Consider the following 19,757-nt stretch of genomic DNA (forward strand, 5'->3'; position numbering starts at 1 on the left):
CACCCTTATCAACATTATTTGGATGAGCTCATTTCTCATTGCCACTGTAGCCCCTTCAACCTACATCAAATGATCCTGCATTCTATCAGAGGTCTCCACTTCCCTTCATCCCTGTTTCCAGGCAGAATATTGAGAGAAACATCTTAATTGTTCTTGCAACTAATATCCATTATTACTTGATGCAAGTTTTCATGTAATTGAAATCCATATTTAATTTGGTCATTTTATCCAGGGCAAAATGTTCTATATATTCCATGAGAAATACAAGAAAGAGCAGAGGGTCTATTCAGGCTAAATTGTTTGCAAGAAACCCATTTAAGCTAACTAAAATAAAGTGAAGTTTATTCTAAGACTATGAGTGGACTAATAGGATGGAAGGAATGGTGCAGAAATCTAAGAATAAAAGCTATAACAGAAGCCAGGTGTGGTGTTGCACACCTGTAGTTCCAGCTACTTGGGAGGCTGAGGCCAGAGGATCACTTGAGCCCAGAATTTCCAGGCTGCAGTACGTTATGACTGTGCCACTGCACTCCAGCCTGGGCCACAGAGCGAGACCCTGGCTGGAATAATTCATTCATTCATTCATTAAAAAATAACAGGAATAGACCACACCAAGATTGGAGTAAGGGATATTTTGGGCTTCAAGGTGGCCCTAGAGACTTATAACAGGAGTTTAAGGTCTTCATTATAGTGACTTGGCTAGGTTTTTAATGCATGCTTCTTTCCATTCCACTATCACTTGACTGCCTCTAATTACTCATCATTACTAATAAATCTCCCTGTTCATGGCCTATCATGACTTCTTCAGCCTCAACTATACCTCATGACCTTTTAGCTGTAATAATTCACTATTTGTTTTTGTTGTTGTTGTCATTTTCTGTTTCATATTTTACATTTAAGAAAGAGAGAATCTGATTGGCCCAGCTAATTTGTTAAGCCAGCCCATACAGGCCAGCTTACACCCTTAGAACAGGTCTTTCTTCCTGCCTTACCACAAAAATTTGGCTGTGGTAGGGGGAAGAGGGACAGGCAGAATCATATGGTAGAAAATGTGGCTATGTAGGTGACATCAGCTTTGGGCAAGGACATTTTACTTAGAATAGAGTGTGGGTAAAACTTGTACTTTAACTAATATGTCCATGAAAGAAAATTACAGAGGTCCACAAGAGCCTAAAACGGTGGTATCTAACATGAGATACAAAGAAAGGGGCTGAGGCACTGGTGCCCACAGCAAAGGAACACTGGGAGTTAATCTAAGCCTGAGAAAGGGCCTCAGATCTATACAGTAGAAAGGCTGGGGCTCCCTTACAGGGATACTTATTGTACATCTACTTTGGGCCAGACACTTTACATTTACTCACGCATTTATCTGGTCTCACATCATCCTTAAAGAGTAATTATTTTTAACCAAATTGTACAAATGAAGAAACTGAAACTGGAAGAATAACAGCGAACCATCTAAACTAACGAACAAATAATTGACAGAGAAAATACATAAGCCTAGGGAGCATAAACTCTATTCTACTTTTATTCCATATAAATTTTAGGATTTTTTTTCTGTTTCTGTTGGAGAATGTCATTGGCATTTTGATAGGGATTGCATTAAAACTGTAGATTGCTTTGGGGTAGTATGGACATTTTAACAATAATGATTCTTTCAATACATGAACATGGAATATCTTTCCATTTCTTTGTGTCCTCTTCAATTTCTTGCATCAAAGTTTCATAGTTTTCATTTTAGAGATCTTTCACTTCTTTGGTTAATTCCGAGGTACTTAATTTTATTTGTAGCTATTGTAAATGAGATTATTTCTTGATTTCTTTTTCAGATTCTTAGCCATTGGCATATAGAAATGCTACTGACTTTTGTATGTTGACTTTGTATCCTGCAACTTTACTGAATTGGTTTATCAGTTCTAATGGTTTTTTGCTGGCATATTTAGGTTGTTCCAAATATAAGATAATATCTAAACAAGGATAATTTGACCTCTTCCTTTCCAACTTGGATGCCTTTATTTCTTTGTCTTCTCTGATTGCCCTAGATAGGACTTACAGTACGATGTTGAATAACAGTGCTGAAAGGGGGCATCCTTGTCATTTTACAGATCTTAGAGGAAAGACTTTCAATTTTCTCCATTCAGTATACTACCTGTGGTTCTGCTATACATGGCTTTTATTGTGTTGAGGTATGTTTCTTCTATACCCAATTTTTTGAAGGTTTGTACTAATGAAGGGATGCTGAATTATACCAAATGCTCTTTCAGTATTAATTGAAATGATCATATGATTTTTGTCCTTCATTCTGTTGATATGATGTATCACATAGATTGATTTGTGTACATTGAACCACCCTTGCATCCCTGGGATAAATCCCACTTGGTCGTGATGAACTATCTGTTCAATGTGTTGTTGAATTTGGTTTCCTAGTATTTTGTTGATGATTTTTGCATCAATGCTCATCAGAGATATTGGCCTATAGGTTTTGTGGGTTTTTTTGTTTTGTTTTGTTTTTGTTTTTGTTTTTGTTTTTGTGGTGTGTTTTGGTGCCTGATTTTGATATCAGGGTAATACTGACCTCATAGAATGGGTTTGGGAGTATTCCCTCCTCCTCTGTTTTTCAGAATAGTTTGAGTATGGTTGGTTTAGTTCTTCTTTAAATGGTAAAATTCAGCCGTGAAACCATTGGGTTCCAGGGTTTGCTTTGCTGGGAGACTTTTTATTATGGTTTTGATTTTGTTCCTTGCTATTGATCTGTTCAGGTTTTGGAATTCTTTCTGATTCAGTATTGGTAGGTTGTATGTGTCTAGGAATTTATCCATTTCTTCTAGGTTCTCAAATTTGTTGGCATATAGTTGCTCATAGTAGCCCATAATGACCCTTTTAATTTCTGCACTATTGATTATAATGTCTTCTTCTTCATCCATGATTTTATTTATTTTGGTCTTCTCTCTCTTTTTTTCTTAGTCTGGCTAAAGGTTTGTCAATTTTATTTATCTTTTCAAAAAACCAACTTTTTGTTTTGTTGATCTTTTGTATTTTTTTGATTTGGTTTCATTTATTTCTGCTCTGATGTTTATTATTTCTTTTCTTCTACTAACTGTGGGTTTGGTTTGCTCTTGCTTTTCTAGTTCTTTAAAACGTACCATTAAATTTTTGTTTGAAATTTTCTTTTTTTGGTGTAGGCACTTATAGCTATAAACTTCCCTCTTAGTACTGTTTTTGTCGTGTCCCATATGTTTTGGTATGTCGTGTTTCCATTATGGTTTATTTCAAGAATTTTTTTTCAATTTCTTTCTTAATTTCTTCATTGATCCACTGGTCATTTAGGAGAATATAGTTTAATTTCCATGTGTTTGCATAGTTTTCAAAATTCCTCTTGCTATTGATTTTTATTTCATTGTGGTCAGAGAAGATATTTGATATAATTTCATTTTTTTGAGTCTGATCTTATTTACTTGTTACTCAAAAAATTTTATTTCTGACTGGATTCAGGCTTAGAAGTAGAAGGTCGCAGAGAAGAAAGTCTGTGTCTCTTTGCAATTTGTTCTTGGCGCTTCTCTTTAGCCTCCTTCATTCTCTTGGCCAAAAGTTTAGCATATTCTGCAGTCTCTTCCTTATTTTTCTTAGTACCCTGCTTCTTCAGAGCAATACGCCACTGTTTGTGTTGCAGGACACATGGATTAACAAGATGCTGAATCTTGGGTGCTTTGGTCCTAGGTTTCTTACATTCTTTGTTTAAGGGCTTTCTTACAACATACTTGGCAAACATCATCTTTAGAGAGATTGAGAAATTTGTGGATTCTGCTAGCTCTTTTGGGCCCCAGGCGACGAGGCACCATAGTATCAGTCAGTCCAGGAATATCCAATATCCTTCTCTCCTTTTTTTTTTTTTTTTTTTTTTTTACAATAACCAAGATGAGAACGCTCAGACTGGCATCCATGAAATGATTTTCTCTTTCTCTCTCCAGTTATCCTTGGTCTGTAACAGGAATGCCCCTCACTCAGTAGCAGGTGGACACGACCACGGGTAAAGACACCCTGCTTCATGGGGGAACCTTGTTAGTCGTTTCCACCACTGATTTGGACCACATAACCCTTTCATTCTTCACCCAGAGCATAAGCAGCAACTTCTGTAGCCATACACTTCTCATAAAAAGTATGAAGTTTACGTTCATCATCCACTTCAATGAGTTTCTGGCAGCAAGTGGCTGGGAAGGAGATGTTCAGCTTCATCTTGAAGCAGCTGAACACCTCTGAGGCACCACAGAAAATAGCTATAATTTCAATTTTTTAAAAATATTTTAAGACTGTTTCATGGCCTAACATACAGTCTATCCTTGAGAATGATCCATGTGGTGAGGAGAAGAATGTGTATTCTGCAGCCATTGGATGGAATGTCCTGTAAATATCTATTAGGTCCCTTTGGTCTATAGTACAGATTAAATCCAATATTTCCTTGTTGATTTTCTGTCTGGGAGATCTGTCCAATGCTGAAAGGGGGGTGCTGAAGTCTCCAACTATTATTGTATTGGGACTTATCTCTCTCTTTAGCTCTAATAATATCTGCTTTATATATCTGGGTGCTGCAGTATTGGGTGCATAGGTGTATATATATTTAAAATTGTTATATTCTCTTGCTGAGTTGACCACTTATAGTGACGTTGTTTGTCTCTTCATAAAGTTTTTGTCTTGAAATCTATTGTGTCTGATATAAATATAGCTACTCCTGCTCTTTTTTGGTTTACATTTTAATGTGAACTATGGTATATCTTTTTCTATCCCTTCATTTTCAGACTATGTGTGTCTTTATAGGTGAAGTATGTTTGTTGTAGGCAACAGATCATTAGGTCTTATTTTTTCATCCATTCAGCCACTCTATGTGTTTTGATTGGAGATTTTAGTTCATTTACATTTGATGTTATTATTGATAAATAAGGACTTTTGCTATTTGTTTTCTGGTGGTTTTGCAGTCTTCTCTTCCTTCTTTACTTCCTTCCTGTATTCCTTTTAGTGAAGGTGATTTTCTCAGGTGGTCTGATTTAATTTTTTGCTTTTTATTTTTAATGTATCTGTAGTATGTTTTTTGATTTGAGGTTACCATGAAGCTTGCCAATAATACCTTGTAACCCATTATTTTAAACTGATGACAACATAACACTAATTGCATAGTGTGAACAAGAATAATTTGACCTCCCCGGGCGCGATGGCTCATGCCTTTAATCCTAGCACTTTGGGAGGCCAAGGCAGGCAGATCATGAGGTCAGGGGATCGAGACCATCCTGGCTAACATGGTGAAACCCCGTCTCTACTAAAAATACAAAAAATTAGCCAGGCGTGGTGGCAGGCGCATGTAGTCCCAGCTACTGGGGAGGCTGAGGCAGGAGAATGGCTTGAACCTGGGAGGCGGAGCTTGCAGTGAGCCGAGATTGCGCCACTGCACTCCAGCCTGGGCGACAGAGCAAGACTCCGTCTCAAAAAAAAAAAAAAAAAAAGTGTCTCCTCAGAGGTCACATAAGCACTTTTCACTAATTATACTATTTCACTTACTAGGCATCTGTTTTCACCCATTACTGGGTTAAAATATTTGTTAGAGCAACCCCCGCTTTGTGTCATGGGGCCAATCTCTTTGTAATTATTTCTTTCTAGTACAGGAGCTCTTTAAGGGCTGAAACTCGAACTTGTTTAATTCTGTATACCTTTTCCATTCATTATCCCCACAATTACAGAGTGATAAGCACATAGTAGGTACTCAATAAACATTTGTTGAATGAAGGCCGGGTGTGGTGGCTCATGCCTGTAATCCCAGCACTTCGGGAGGCTGAGGCGGGTGGATCCCCTGAGGTCAGGAGTTTGAGACCAGCCTGACCAACATGGAGAAACCCCGTCTCTACTAAAAATACAAAATTAGCTGGGTGTGGTGGCACATGCCTGTAATCCCTAGCTACTAGGGAGGCTGAGGCAGGAGAATCGCTTGAACCTGGGAGGCGGAGGTTGCAGTGAGCCAAGATTGCACCATTGCACTCCAGCCTGGGCAACAAGAGCAAAACTCCGTCTCAAAAAAAAAAAAAAATTGTTGAATGAAATGCTTGTTGTTGAATACATGCCATACATTATTTTGGATTTGCAAAAGGCCTCAGCAAATGGTACATATTGTCAAATTAATGCTAAAACAGATTTTGTGCAGAAAGGAATAAATCAAATCACTGAAAGCTCTTCTATAGCCCTGAGGCTCTGAACTGGACATTAGATTGTTTCCTAGGCTGGAGGGACAGGGACTGTTTTTCTTAGGCCCTTGCCATGCTCTTAGAATGTCAGCTCCATGAGGGCAGGGATTTTTATCCCCAGTATCTATAAGAGTGCCTAACACATAGTAGATGTTTAATAATTGGTTTATCAAGTGAATAAGAAAGTTGACAAAGTGGCCCAAGCCTCTGCCATCTATCTCATTCTTACCCTGTGTTTAAAATGCTGCATTAATGGCTTCTTCCTTAAGTTATTCTCTTTCAAAATACCACTCTTCCAATATGGGTGACTCACTCAATCTTTCACATGTGCATTCTGATTGGTTCTTCACAAAACAACTTCATATCCAGTATCCTTTTGATCTGTATAGCAATTTTCCGAGGTGAGCAGGTCAGGGATCACCATGCCTATTTGCAGAGGGGAAATTGAGGCTCAGAGAGTTGAGATTATTTTGTTCCACATTACTTGACTAGTAGGTGGAAAAGCTAATACTTGAACCCAGGTTTTCTTATCTCCATCCTGAACTTTTTCTACCACAAATGAATTTTTCAGATCATTTAGGGTAGGGGGTACTGGAGGGCTCTGTGGATGGGGACAGAGTGGGAAGGAACGAGGGAGAAAACTACAAACCGGTAGAAGGATGTTAAAGGGAGAGGTAGAGACAGTTGAAGATTAATCTTGTGCTGGATGTGGCTTGTCTGCCTCTTCCCCTGCTCAATGCCTCATGAGTACCTGTTTTGTCATGGAGGCAAAAACAAACCTGTTATCTCAATCAGTAAAACTCCCTCTGGGAGAACACTTCCCAGGCTGGGAGGGGTCAAATTTAGCGGGTACTTGGGAAAGAAACAATATTTCCAGCCCTCTTTGCATTAGAAGATTTAACTTTGGGGGTTGCTGGGTTTTTGTTTCGTGGGTGTGGGGCAGAGGTGGTGGTAAAAATAGCCCTCAGGGCCCTATTAGAAGCAACCAACCAGCAACAAAATTCATGTGTCCGGATATCTGGGGAAGCACCACATGTGTGAAGGGGGTGGGAATGGGTCTCCTGTTTCTCACCCAACTAGGGGAAGTCAAATAGAGCTACCACAATCAGACAACACTGTCCGGGCATGGTGGCTCACACCCGTAATCCCAGCACTTTGGGAAGCCGAGGCGGGCAGATCACTTGGGGTCAGGAGTTTGAGACCTGCCTGGCCAACATGGTGAAACCCCGTCTCTACTAAAAACACAAAAATTAGCTGGGCCTGGTGGGGTGCACCTGTAATCCCAGCTATTCGGGAGGCAGAGGCAAGAGAATCGCTTGAACCCAGGAGGCGGAGGTTGCAATGAGCTGAGATCGCACCACTGCACTCCAGCTTGGGCAACAGAGCGAGATCCTATATCAAAAAAAAAAAAAAAAAAAGAATCAGACAACACTAAGTGGTTACAGACCTATTTCCAACACTTTCTATTTGAAGTGCTTCATAAACAAGTCTGGGAAGAAGAGGAAGTCGGGAGGAACTACAGTCCAAAGCTCAGTACTGTTGGGGTTAAGTTTCTGGCCATATTCAATTTGTCCATTCCCCTTTGGAGGGTGGGTTCTGAGTTTGCATATGAGATAATGGACCAGGATGGGGGCATTGGTGACAATTGTCAGTGGTAAAAAAAATAAAGCAAAGGACTTCATGGCCACGACCTCTGGCTGGCAGTGGGTTGCCAACCCCAGACTCTGAAGGGTATTTAACACCTATCAGTCCCCATACTTGAGAGAAGAGAAAATCGAGCCTTTGGACTAGGGCTGCTGAACTTGTGTAGGGCAGGGCTTATGCCTACTGTCCTTCCCTCCTCCACTACAAACTAATCAGCTATTTGCTGAGCTGTTTTACCCACTGGCTTGTGAGCTCCTTTCTGTGTGCCCAGGCACATGATGGGTGCTCTAATAAATTCATGCAAATGAGCCCAGGCTTTGTAAGATGGGGCCTTATAAGTACTTCGGCCCAAAGAGACATGGGAAATCATTCTACCCCACATCTTACCTTGGCCCTCCTAAGCTACAGCTTCTGTACCAGCTCCAATTCACTAAGCAAATAGTTCTTTTCTCCCTCCCCTCCCTTCCTTTCTTCTTTCCTTCCTTCCACTTGTAGTCTGGGTGGTGAAGGAGCTTCCTAAGGCCCTTAGAATTTAATACAGTGAAAGGATTAAAGAGCTAGGAGTCAGTATACTTGGATTTAAGTCCCAGCACTGCCACTGTGATTGACTGAGTGACCTTGAGTGAGTCCCTCACTCTTTGTGGGTCTCTTGGTGTCTTCACCTCAAAATAAAGTGAACTCTGTTGAGTACTTTTCCAACTGTGCTCTTTGGTACCATAGAGTATCATTTCTCAAAGTGTGACACAAGGACATGAGACAACGTTAGGTGTTGCCAGAAGCAAATTTTAAATTACAATAGCTGTGGATATATTTTTAATATGAATTAGAAAAAAATATACCTAAAACATTAAGTCTGTGATGTTACATAGGATGAGGCTGAATTTATTTAAGAAAAAAGTGAGTCAATTTAAAGAAACATATTAAATATGAACACTGAAGGAACTAAAAATATTTTACCCCAAAACATATTTCTTTGACACATTTTGAGATGGCTGTCAGGGGGCCAGCAAACAGAAGTAGCCCCGCAAAGCTGTCCTTTGTGGGGGAGATTTGCACTTGTAGAGAATCTGCATTGATGCAGCCAGGCCTTCCCTTGTCCAAATCTAGGAAAGACTGAGAGTCTGACACCTTAAAGAACCGAAAGAAACATTTACCATCTGTTCTCTCTGAAGGTTGCTACCTGTGAGGTTTCATCTACACAATGAGACACTTTTGCTAGACAGGCCTCCTCTTCTCTCCCTCCGATAACCTGTCTTGGCATTATAAACTGATTTACCACCATTACCTCTTTTGGCCATTCTCTGGGCCCCATTCTTTCTGTAACCTCAAGATGGTATATAAGCTTCTGCACCCCAGTGGGGGAGTTGGGCAATCACTCTGTGATGCTCCCTGTGTACACGCTAGTAAATCATATGTCTTTCCTCCTATTACCTACCTTTTTTGAGTTGATTTTTCTGCGAGCCTTCAGAGGGCAAAGGGGAAGTTTTCCCTTGGCCCCTACAACAAGCTGGCTGGTAGATACAGATATAAAAATCATATGGGAGCTCTGGGCAGAACTGAAAGTTAGGCAACACTGCTCTAGAATTCTGAAACATCCCTTCAGAGCAGGGTTGAGCCCAGGGCCTCCCAATGCCATGAGTTGCACTTTTTTTTTTCTTTTTTTGAGACGGAGTCTCACTTTGTCACCCAAGCTGGAGTGCAGTGGTGCGATCTCGGCTCACTGCAAACTCTGCTTCCCAGGTTCAAGCGATCCTCCTGCCTCAGCCTAGCAAATAGCTAGGATTATAAGCGCAGGGCCACCACACACTTTTAATTTGAAGAAAGAAATTTGTGGCTAAAAAAATATTTGCAGCAGGCATGGTGGCTCATGCCTATAATCCCAGCACTGTGGGATGCCAAGACGGGAGGATCGCATGAGCCCAGGAGGTCAAGGCTGCAGTGAGCCGAGATCGTGCCACTGCACTCCAGCCTGGGTGACACAGCGAGACCCTGTCTCTCTCTCTCTCTCTCTCTCTCTCTCTCTCACACACACACACACACACACACACACACACACACACACACACACATCCCCTGAAACAAAAGAAATCCCAAAACTTTGGCCCAGGAAATCCTGAAGGTCCCTCCAGTGCTGACATTCTAAGACTCTAAATCACCACAGCACGTCTTGGGTGTTCTTCTGGCCTGAGGGGTAACTTGATGACTCTAAGTCAAGTGATTTGGAAAGCTGCCCACTTTACTGCAGTCCACTACAGGCTCCAGGCAAAGTTATGGGGAGAAATTAGGAAGCTGCCATTCAAAGTTAGTCTTAAGGGTGTGGGTAGGGGTAATAGTCTCCAGAGTCCAGGTGCCCCCTAGTGGCCAAAGGCATAAAGGGCTGTGGATAGAGTGTTCCTTTGGGTCTAGATTGGTATCCATTTAGGGCAACCAGTTCCAGAGCATGGTTTTTCTCAACCATCCTCAGAGACTGTGAGTTTGTGGGTCGGGGGAAAGGAGGATGAACCTAAAAACCCTTTATAGTTCTGGCCATTATACCTGACCAGGCTGTATTCCTTCTTCAACCCAAAAGCAGAATGATAGAAAAAGGCTCAGTAAATCCTGAGCATAACCCCAAATTCAGATCAGTTTGCTTAACTCCCAAGTCCTCTCAAGAAGGGGCTATTGGTGGCTCATCAGGTTCATTTTCCCATCCTGACCTGTAGTCTCAGAAGCAGCTTTCCAAACAAATAACCACTTGCTAGTTCAACAGCACCAAGGGAGCCTGGGAAGGTTTTAACACCTCCTCTCATAATTTACATTAGTACTCACATATCCATGATATTGACAGTTGGTGTTTTCTCAAATTTAGGTAATATGCTTTTGCAAACACATCTTGAAAAACCGTTCCCTAGTCCCTTCTTCCAACCAGTACCCCCTGCCACCCTTAAAAACTGTCTATTTGGAAATTCCGAAGCCATTTCAGGCTTCATGTAGCACTCATAACTCTTTGCTTTGGCTAGCAAGGTGTTTTCAAGATTAAGGTATATCAGGCACCAAAAATAATAAAGTAGGAAACTCCAGATCTACATTCCTCCTAAAAAGAAACTAATGCGCTAGAAAAACTGTCAGAATCAGCTTTTGAAGGACGCTGGAATCTAGTCAAAAACTTACAACAAGGGGAATACTTGGTGAAGAAAGATGTTGCTTTGTGGTAAGAGACTGTTGTGGCATTTTAAATCACCCACTTATCATCCCCCATGCCCTAGATCAGCAGTGGCTGTGAGGACAGTAGATGGCACTCTTGGTGCAAGTTGCTAGTTCCAGAGGGAGCAATATGAACCTTACTCTCAAAGAATTGTGGTATGGGCCTCCACCAGCCTGGAGGCTCCCTCAAAAACTGGCAGGAAGGTTTTCCTATGTTTCACCTGACTCAGAGTGTTTGCAGGGCTCCAGTGGCTTCCAAGGAGGCTGTTACTGAAAGTATTTAAAGGCACAGGTATTGGCTGCAGCAGCCTGGGGTTAGGGATAACACTTGAGACAAATGATAGACACACCTAGAAGCCTGGGAAAGAAGAGATTGGGACTGAAGATGTGTATGGGAAAAAGAATTTTTAAAAGCTCCTATGTACACCAGGGAATCAATAAAGCCACAATCATTCCCAGGGGAGGACACATGCTTGAAAAGACTGGAGAAGAACCTAAGCTTTCACCTCAGGCAGGCCTTCAGGCTCCACATATGCAGGAAGGGAAAGCTGAGGCAGAGTTAGGGCCAATATGTGGAGACTGGGATAGTACTCTTTCCTTTCTTGTTTTTATTTTTTAAAATTTTTATTTCAATAGTTTTGGGGCAATGGGTAGTTTTTGGTTACATGCAGAAGTTCTTTAGTGGTGATTTCTGAGATTTTTGTGCACCCATCACACAAGCAGTATACACTGTGTACAATGTGTGTAGTCTTTTATCCCTCACCCCACTTCCACCATTCCCCTAGTCCCCAAAGTCCGTTATAGCATTCTTATGCCTTTGCATCCTCATAGTTTAGTGAGAACATACAACATTTGGTTTTCCATTCCTGAGTTACTTCACTTAAAATAATGGTCTGCAACTCCATCCACGTTGCTGCAAATGCCATTATTTCATTTCTTTTTATAGCTGAGTAGTATTCTATGGTGTATATATACAACATTTTCTTTATCAACTCGTTAGTTGATGGGCGTTTAGGTTGGTTCCATATTTTTGCAACTGCAGATTGTGCTGCTATAAAGATATGTGTGCAAGTGTCTTTTCCATATAATGACTTCTTTTCCTCTGGATAGATACCCAGCAATGGGATTGATGGATCAAATGGTAGTTCTGCTTTTAGCTCTTTAAGGAATCTCTGCACTGTTTTTCATAGTGGTTGTACTAGTTTACATTCCCACCAGCATTGCAAAAGTGTTCCCTTTTCACTACATCCACACCAACATCTATTTATTTTATTTTTAAATTATGACCATTCTTGCAGGAGTAAGGTGATATCACATTGTGGTTATAATTTGCATTTCTCTGATAGTGATGTTGAGCATTTTTCATATGTTTGTTGGCCATTTGCATATCTTCTGTTGAGAATTGTCTATTCATGCCCTTTGCCCACTTTTTGATGGGGTTATTTGTTTTTTTCTTGCTGATTTGTTTGAGTTCCTTGTAGATTCTGGATGTTAATCTTTCATCAGATACATAGTTTGTGAATATTTTCTCCTACCCTATGGGTTGTCTGTTTACTCTACTGATAATTTCTTTTGCTGTGCAGAAGCTTTTTAGTTTAATTAGATCCCATTTATTTAAACTTTGTTTTTGTTGCATTTGCTATTGGGTTCTTGGTCATGAATTCTTTGCCTAAGCCGATGTCTAGAAGAGTTTTTCCGATGTTATCTTCTAGAATTTTTATGGTTTTAGGTCTTAGATTTAAGTCTTCGATCCACCTTGAGTTGATTTTTGTATAAGGTGAGAGATGAGGATCCAGTTTCATTCTTCTACATGTGGCTTGCCAATTATCCCAGAACCATGTGTTGAATAGGATTGTTTTTCTTTTTTTCTTTTTTTTTCATTTCTTAGCTCTAGTCATTTAAGGGAACTCTGAAAACACCAACCAAACAGTAGGCTAATAGAACAAAGAACTCAGTGGTCACATACAACAAAAAATACTAAAGTAGTTGGGGAAAGTCACTAAAGAAGCATACAATGACAGCCCACAATAGCCAACAGAGACAAACCTTGGGGAGGGATAAGAATCTGGTTTCCAGAGTTGTCATTTTATAATACCCAAAATGTCCTGTTTTCAAAAAAAAAAAATGATGAAGCATGCAAAGAAACAAAAGAGAAATTAATAGAAAATATCCATGAAGAAGCATACACATTGGACTTCCTAGACAAAGACTTTATTTTTTTTGCACTTTAACCATAATAATTTCATTTACATTTTTAAAAACCCTGAAGGTAAAATCTAAAAGAGTAACATTTCTTCCTTCTGTTGGATGTATATACAAAATTTTATAGGACTGTGTAAACTTTGACATATTTTAAGCTTATAAAACAAATAAAATAGAAAATTTACCTAAATCCAACCTATTACACAGTTCAACTTCTATAATACTAATAGTGCTGGAAATCTACACACCCAATGCTGAAACTGGTATGTTCCACTGGACCTTGAAGACAGAGAGCCTCACCAATGCCTCACAAAATGCAAGGTAGCTTTTCCTCTTGGTCATGCATAATGTCATGGTAGAAACTCTAGCACACTCCCAATTTTATGGCCTCAGTCTCCCTAAGCAAATGCCACTTTGTAATGATATTTTCTTTCTTTAGTCATCAGCTTGTGCCCTAGTGTAGCTGACGTTTATGGGATATACATGTATGTGACTGATGCAATTTGATTATAATATATTATTTTACATGTAAGTGGCCGTACTATGTTTGAAATATAAGTGTGGGAATGACTATAGCCATATGATTTTATGGTTTTTTATTTTTAAATAGACAAAGATTTTAGACCCACATTCTTAATATGCTCAAAGAGATCAAGGAAACCACAGACAAAGAACTGAAATAAATCAGGAGAATGATTTCTCAACAGATAGAGACCGTTGATAAAGAGAGAGAGAAATTATAAAAAGAAACCAAATAGAAATTGTGAATCTAAAAAATACAAATTGGCCAGGCATGGTGGCTCATGCCTGTAATTCCAGCACTTTGGTAGGCTGAGGCAGACAGATTGCTTGAGCCCAGGAGTTTGAGACCAGCCTGGGCAACATGGCAAAATCCTGTCTCTATAAAAATTACAAAAAAATTAGCCAGGCATGGTGGTACACACTTGTAGTCCCAGTTGCCCAAGAGGCTGAGGTGGGAAAATCACCTGAACCTGGTAGGTCGAGGCTGCAGTGAGCCATGATCATGTCACTGCACTCCAGCCTGGGTAATAAGGTGAGACCCTGTCTCAAAAAAAAAAAAAAATACAGGCTGAGCAAGGTGCCTCATGCCTGTAATTCCAGCACTTTGGGAGGCCGAGGCAGGTGGATTGCTTGAGGCCAAGAGTTCGAGACCAGCCTGGCCAACATGGCAAAACCCCATCTCTACTAAAAATACAAAAATTAGCTGGGTGTGGTGTCACACGCCTGTGATCCCAGCTACTTGGGAGGCGGAGACACGAAAATCACTTGAACTTGGGAGGCGGAGGTTGCAGTGAGCTGTGATTGTACCACTGCACTCTAGCCTGGGCGACAGAGCAAGACTCTGTCTCAAAAAAAAAAAAAATACAATAACTGTAATGAAAAATTCACTGGAGATGTTCAACATCAGATTTCAACAGGCAGAAAAATCAATTAACTTGTTAGGTCAATTGAGATTATCTAGTCTGGAGAGTAGGAAAAAAAGAATGAAGAAAGATAAACAGAGCCTAAGGGACATGTCAGATACCATTAAGGTTACTAATATATATAGCCCAAGAAGAGGGCCCCAGGAAAAGAAGAGAGCAAGAAAGGGGTAGAGAAAATATCTGAAGAAATAATGACCATGAACTTCCAAAATTTGAGGAAAGACATGAGTCTACACATCCAAGAAGCTCAAGAAGTTCAAGAAGGATAAACTCAAAAAAATCCACAGAGACACACATTTTAATAAAACTGCCAAAAGCCAAAGGCAAAGAGACAATCTTGAAAACACACAAACAAAACAAAGTGAGTCAAAACATAAAAGGGATTTTCCATAATATTGACAGCCAATTTTTCATCAGAGATCACAGAGTCAGAAGGCAATTAGATAACATATTTAAAGTGCTGAAAGAAAAAAAATCAAACAAGAATTCTATATCCAGCAAAACTATACTTTAAAAATGAAGAAGAGGCTGGGTGCGGTGGCCCACACCTGTAATCCCAGCACTTTGGGAGGCAAAGGCAGGCAGATCACTTGAGGCCAGGAGTTTGAGAGCAGCTCGGCCAACATAGAGAAACCCCATCTCTACTAAAAGTACAAAAAAATTAGCCAGGCATGGTGGCACACACCTGTAATCCCAGCTACTCAGGAGCCGAGGCATGAGAATCGTTTGATCCTGGGAGGTGGAGGTTGCAGTGAGCTGAGATTATGCCACTGCCCTTCAGTCTAGGCCACAGAGTGAGACTCCGTCTCAAGAAAAAAAAAAAAAAAAAGAAAAAAGAAAAAAATGACTTCAGTTTCCAGTCCAGTCTGTGAGGAGCTTAGAAGTTGTCACTTTGTCTTAATAACAATTAAAAAGTAGGCTGGGCACTGTGGCTCAAGCCTGTAATCCCAGCACTTTGGGAGGCCGAGGCGGGAGGATCACCTGAGGTCAGGAATTCGAGACCAGCCTGGCCAACATGGTGAAACCCCATCTCTACTAAAAAATACAAAAATTAGCCGAGCATGGTGGCAGGTGCATTAATTCCAGCTACTTGGGAGGCAGAGGCAGGAGAATCATTTGAACCCAGGTGGTGGAGGTTGCAGTGAGCCAAGATCGGGCCATTGCACTCAAGCCTGGGGGACAAAAGCAAGGCTTCTCAAAAAAAAAAAATTAAAAAATAGAACATACTAAAAACCAACAATTCTTAGGTTCCTCAGAGAATTGAGGTCATGGGGCAAAATGCTGCCCCCAAATTGGAAAGACTGGCAGATATAGATTATGGTTTTCTGGAGCAGAAACCCTCACACTGAAACCTTCATGTGAACCAGCAACCATGGGTAGGAAAAGTTAAACTTTAATTGGTGAATTGCTGGAGTTTCAATGAGAAAATTCAACGAGAATTTTTAATTCTCAAACTTGTCCACATTGAAACCTCAGTTTAGGGGGACCCTACACTTTCACTAGTCTTACCTCAAGGAGCCTTACCAGAGTCTCACAGTTAAAATTGAAGAAAAATCCCTGTCTGATTTCTATAAGGGAAGGATGAAAATAGTCATTTTGAAATATGCCCAGAGTATTCTGTTCTTCATAACAAGTCCTGCCTTCAAGAGAAAATATTTCACTGGAATATAACCTACGAAAATTTTATAAGAGCCTGACTGGCCTGGGGAGAGAGAAATACCCAACACCATAACCCTTCGGCCTTTCTGACCTGCAGAGGTAAGGAAAAACCTGAGAGGCACTTGGAAAGGTCACAGTCCATGGGAAGAATTTCACTAAAAGACTGAGATCTAATCATAGGTCTATAGAATGATTCACCTCCCCTCACATCTTACCACCAAATCACTCAAGGGCTATTTACACACAAGTTTTTTACAGAGTACATCATCTCCAGCTTTCAGTAAAAAATTATGTCATACTAAAAGGCAAAAATCCCTGCAGTTTAAAGATACAGTGCAAGCATCAGAACCAGACTCAGATATGAAAATTTTAAATAACTGTAATTAACATGCTAAGGGCTCTAATGGACAAAGTAAACATGCAAAAACAGATGAGTAATGTAACCAAAGATTAAAATCTAGGAATGAATAAAAAAGGAATGCTAGAAACAAAAAATACTGTAATAGAAGTGAATAATGCATTTGATGGGTCAGTAGTAGACTGGACATGACTGAGGAATCAGTGAGCTTGAGGATATGGTAATAGAAATTTTCCAAACTAAAAAACAAAGAGAAAAAAATAATGAAAAACAACACAGAACAGAATACCTAAGGACTGTGGGACAACTATAAAGGGTGTACATATGCATAATGAGGATACAAAAATGAAGAGAAAGAGAGAAAGAAACAGGAGAAATATCTGAAGCAATAGTGACTAAACATTCCCCCAAATTAGTGTAAGATACCAAACTCCACCCTAGGAAGCTCAGAGAATACCAAGCCAGATAAATGCCCAAAAATCTACATGTAGGCATATAACATTCAAACCGCAGAAAATCAACCACTGAAAAATGTTTTTAAAAGAATCTTTACCCACAGGAGAATAAGGATAAGAATTACCTTAGACTTTTCTTCAGAAACCATGCAAGAACAGAGTGGGATAAAATATTTAAAGTGCTGAGAAAAAAAAATCAACCTCAAATTCTGTATCCAATAAAATTATTCTTCATAACTGAAAGAGAAATAAAGACTTTCTCAGAAAAACAAAAATTGAGGGAATTTGTTGCTGATAAACCTTCCTTGGAAGAAAAGAAATTCAGAAGAACAAAAATTATATAGGTTATAAATTTGGATCTACATAAACAAAGGAAGAACATTAGAGAGGGAATAAGTGATATTAAAATAAAAACTTTTCTTTTTCTTATTCTTAATTGATCTAACAAAAACTTTGTTCACAATAATAGCAAAAATGTTCACAATATTTATTCTTTATGCGTAAGTGAAACGAATGACAACAATGATACAAGGGATTGGGGAAAGAATTAGGAATCCTTTTTATAAGGTATTTACACTACCCATGAAGTGGTATAGTATTATTTGAATGAGGACTTTGATTAGTTGTAAATGTATATTGTAAACTGTAGGGTAACCATTAAAAATTTTTTAAAAAGAAATATAATTGATATACTAAGAAAGGAGCAAAAATTGAATAGTATAAAATGCTCAGTTAAAACTATCAAAGGCAGAAAAATACTGGAAGACAAAAATAGAAACAAAGAACGAGGGGAACAAACTAAAAATAGTAACAAATATCATAAATATTAATCCAGCTATATAGCAATAATCACTTTAATCATCACAACAGCCAGGTGCAGTAACATGTGCCTGTAGTCCCAGCTACTTGGGAGGCTGAGGCAGGAGGATCCCTTGAGCCCAGGAGTTCTGAGCTATAGTGTGCTCAGTGATTGAATGTCTGAACTAAGTTTGCTATCAATATGGTGACCTCCCAGGAGTAGGGGGCCACCAGATTGCCTAAGGACGGATGAAATGACCCAGGCTGGAAATGGAGGGGGTCAAAACTACTGTACCGATCAGTACTGGGATTGCACCTGTGAACAGCAAATGCACTCCAGCCTGGGCAACATAACAAGACCCCAGCTCTTAAATAAATAAATAAATAAACAAACAAATGAACAAACAAATATCATCACAACAATGAGACTTAGAGTGCACAAAGAAAAACAAGACCCAACTATATGTTGTCTACAAGAAATCCACCTCAAACATAAAGACAGACAAATTAAAAATAAAGGAATAGAGAAAGATATATCATGCTAAAATTAATAAAAAGAAATCTGGAATATCTACATTAATTTCAGACACAGCTGACTTCAAAGCAAGGGACAAAGGACATTATCAGGAATAATGAGAGGCATTACAGAATGATAAAGGGTGATAAAGGGGTCAATTCTCCAAGAAGAAATAATAGTCCTTGATGTGTATATGCCTAACAGCAGAGCACCAAAATATGTGAGGCAAAAATTGATGGAACCGCAAGGTGAAATAGATTATCTACTATTATAGTTACAGACTTTAACATCCCTTGATCAGTAATAGACTGATCCAGCAGGACAAAAATCAATAAGGACATAGTTGAACCAAGAGCACCATCAAATAGGTCTAATTGACATCTACAGACTACTTCATCCAACAACAGCAGGATACACATTCTTCTCAAGCTCACATGGAACATTCATTGAGGCAGACAACATTCTTTGGGAGGCTACGGTGGGCAGATCACCTGAAGTCAGGAGTTCGAGACCAGCCTGGCCAACATGGTGAAACCCCGTCTCTACTGAAAATACAAAAAATCAACCAGGCGTGATGGTGGGCACCTGTAATCCCAGCTACTCAGGAGGCTGAGGCATGAGAATTGCTTTAACCTGGGAGGCGGAGGTTGTAGTGAGCCAAGATCACACCATTGCACTCCAGCCTGGGTGACAAAGTGAGACTCCGTCTCAAAAAATAAATAGATAAATAAATAAATAAAATAAATAAATGTGATTCATCACATAAATAGAACTAAAGACAAAAACCACATGATTATTTCAATAGATTCAATAGATACAGAGCAGAAAAGGCTTTTGATAAAATTCAACACCCTTTCATGTTAAAAACTCTGAACAAATTAGGTATTGAAGTAATATACCTCAAAATAAGAGTCATCTATGACAGACCAACAGCCAAAATCACATCAAAAGGGCAAAAGCTGGAAGCATTCCCCTTGAAAACTGGCACAAGACAAGGATGCTCTCTCTCACCACTCCTATTCAACATAGTGTTGGAAGTCCTGGCTAGGGCAATCAGGCAAAAGAAAGAAATAAAGAGCACCCAAATAGGAAGAGATGAAGTCACACTATCCCTGTTTGTAGATAACATGATTCTGTATCTAGAAAAAAACCCCATAGTCTTGGCCCAAAAGCTCCTTACATTGACTAACAACTTCAGCAAACTCTTAGGATACAAAGTTAATGTACAAAAATCACTAACACTCCTATACACCAACAACAGTCAAGCCAAGA

At 39.6% G+C, this 19,757-nt stretch overlaps 2 pseudogenes, besides 1 other annotated feature; one reads left to right on the top strand and one right to left on the bottom strand.

Annotated features, from left to right (window-relative positions):
* Window positions 3,438-4,274, bottom strand: RPS6P26 (ribosomal protein S6 pseudogene 26; annotated as a pseudogene).
* Window positions 9,339-9,839: an enhancer, noted in NCBI's record as "H3K4me1 hESC enhancer chrX:73601826-73602326 (GRCh37/hg19 assembly coordinates)". NCBI's record gives its function as "activates a minimal SCP1, AML or CMV promoter by ChIP-STARR-seq in primed H9 embryonic stem cells {active_cell/tissue: H9 hESC(primed)}" and the evidence as "EXISTENCE:reporter gene assay evidence [ECO:0000049][PMID:30033119]".
* RN7SL790P (RNA, 7SL, cytoplasmic 790, pseudogene) lies at window positions 18,040-18,337 on the top strand (annotated as a pseudogene).

Source organism: Homo sapiens, chromosome X (assembly GCF_000001405.40).
Source record: "Homo sapiens chromosome X, GRCh38.p14 Primary Assembly".
Classification (NCBI taxonomy): domain Eukaryota; kingdom Metazoa; phylum Chordata; class Mammalia; order Primates; family Hominidae; genus Homo; species Homo sapiens.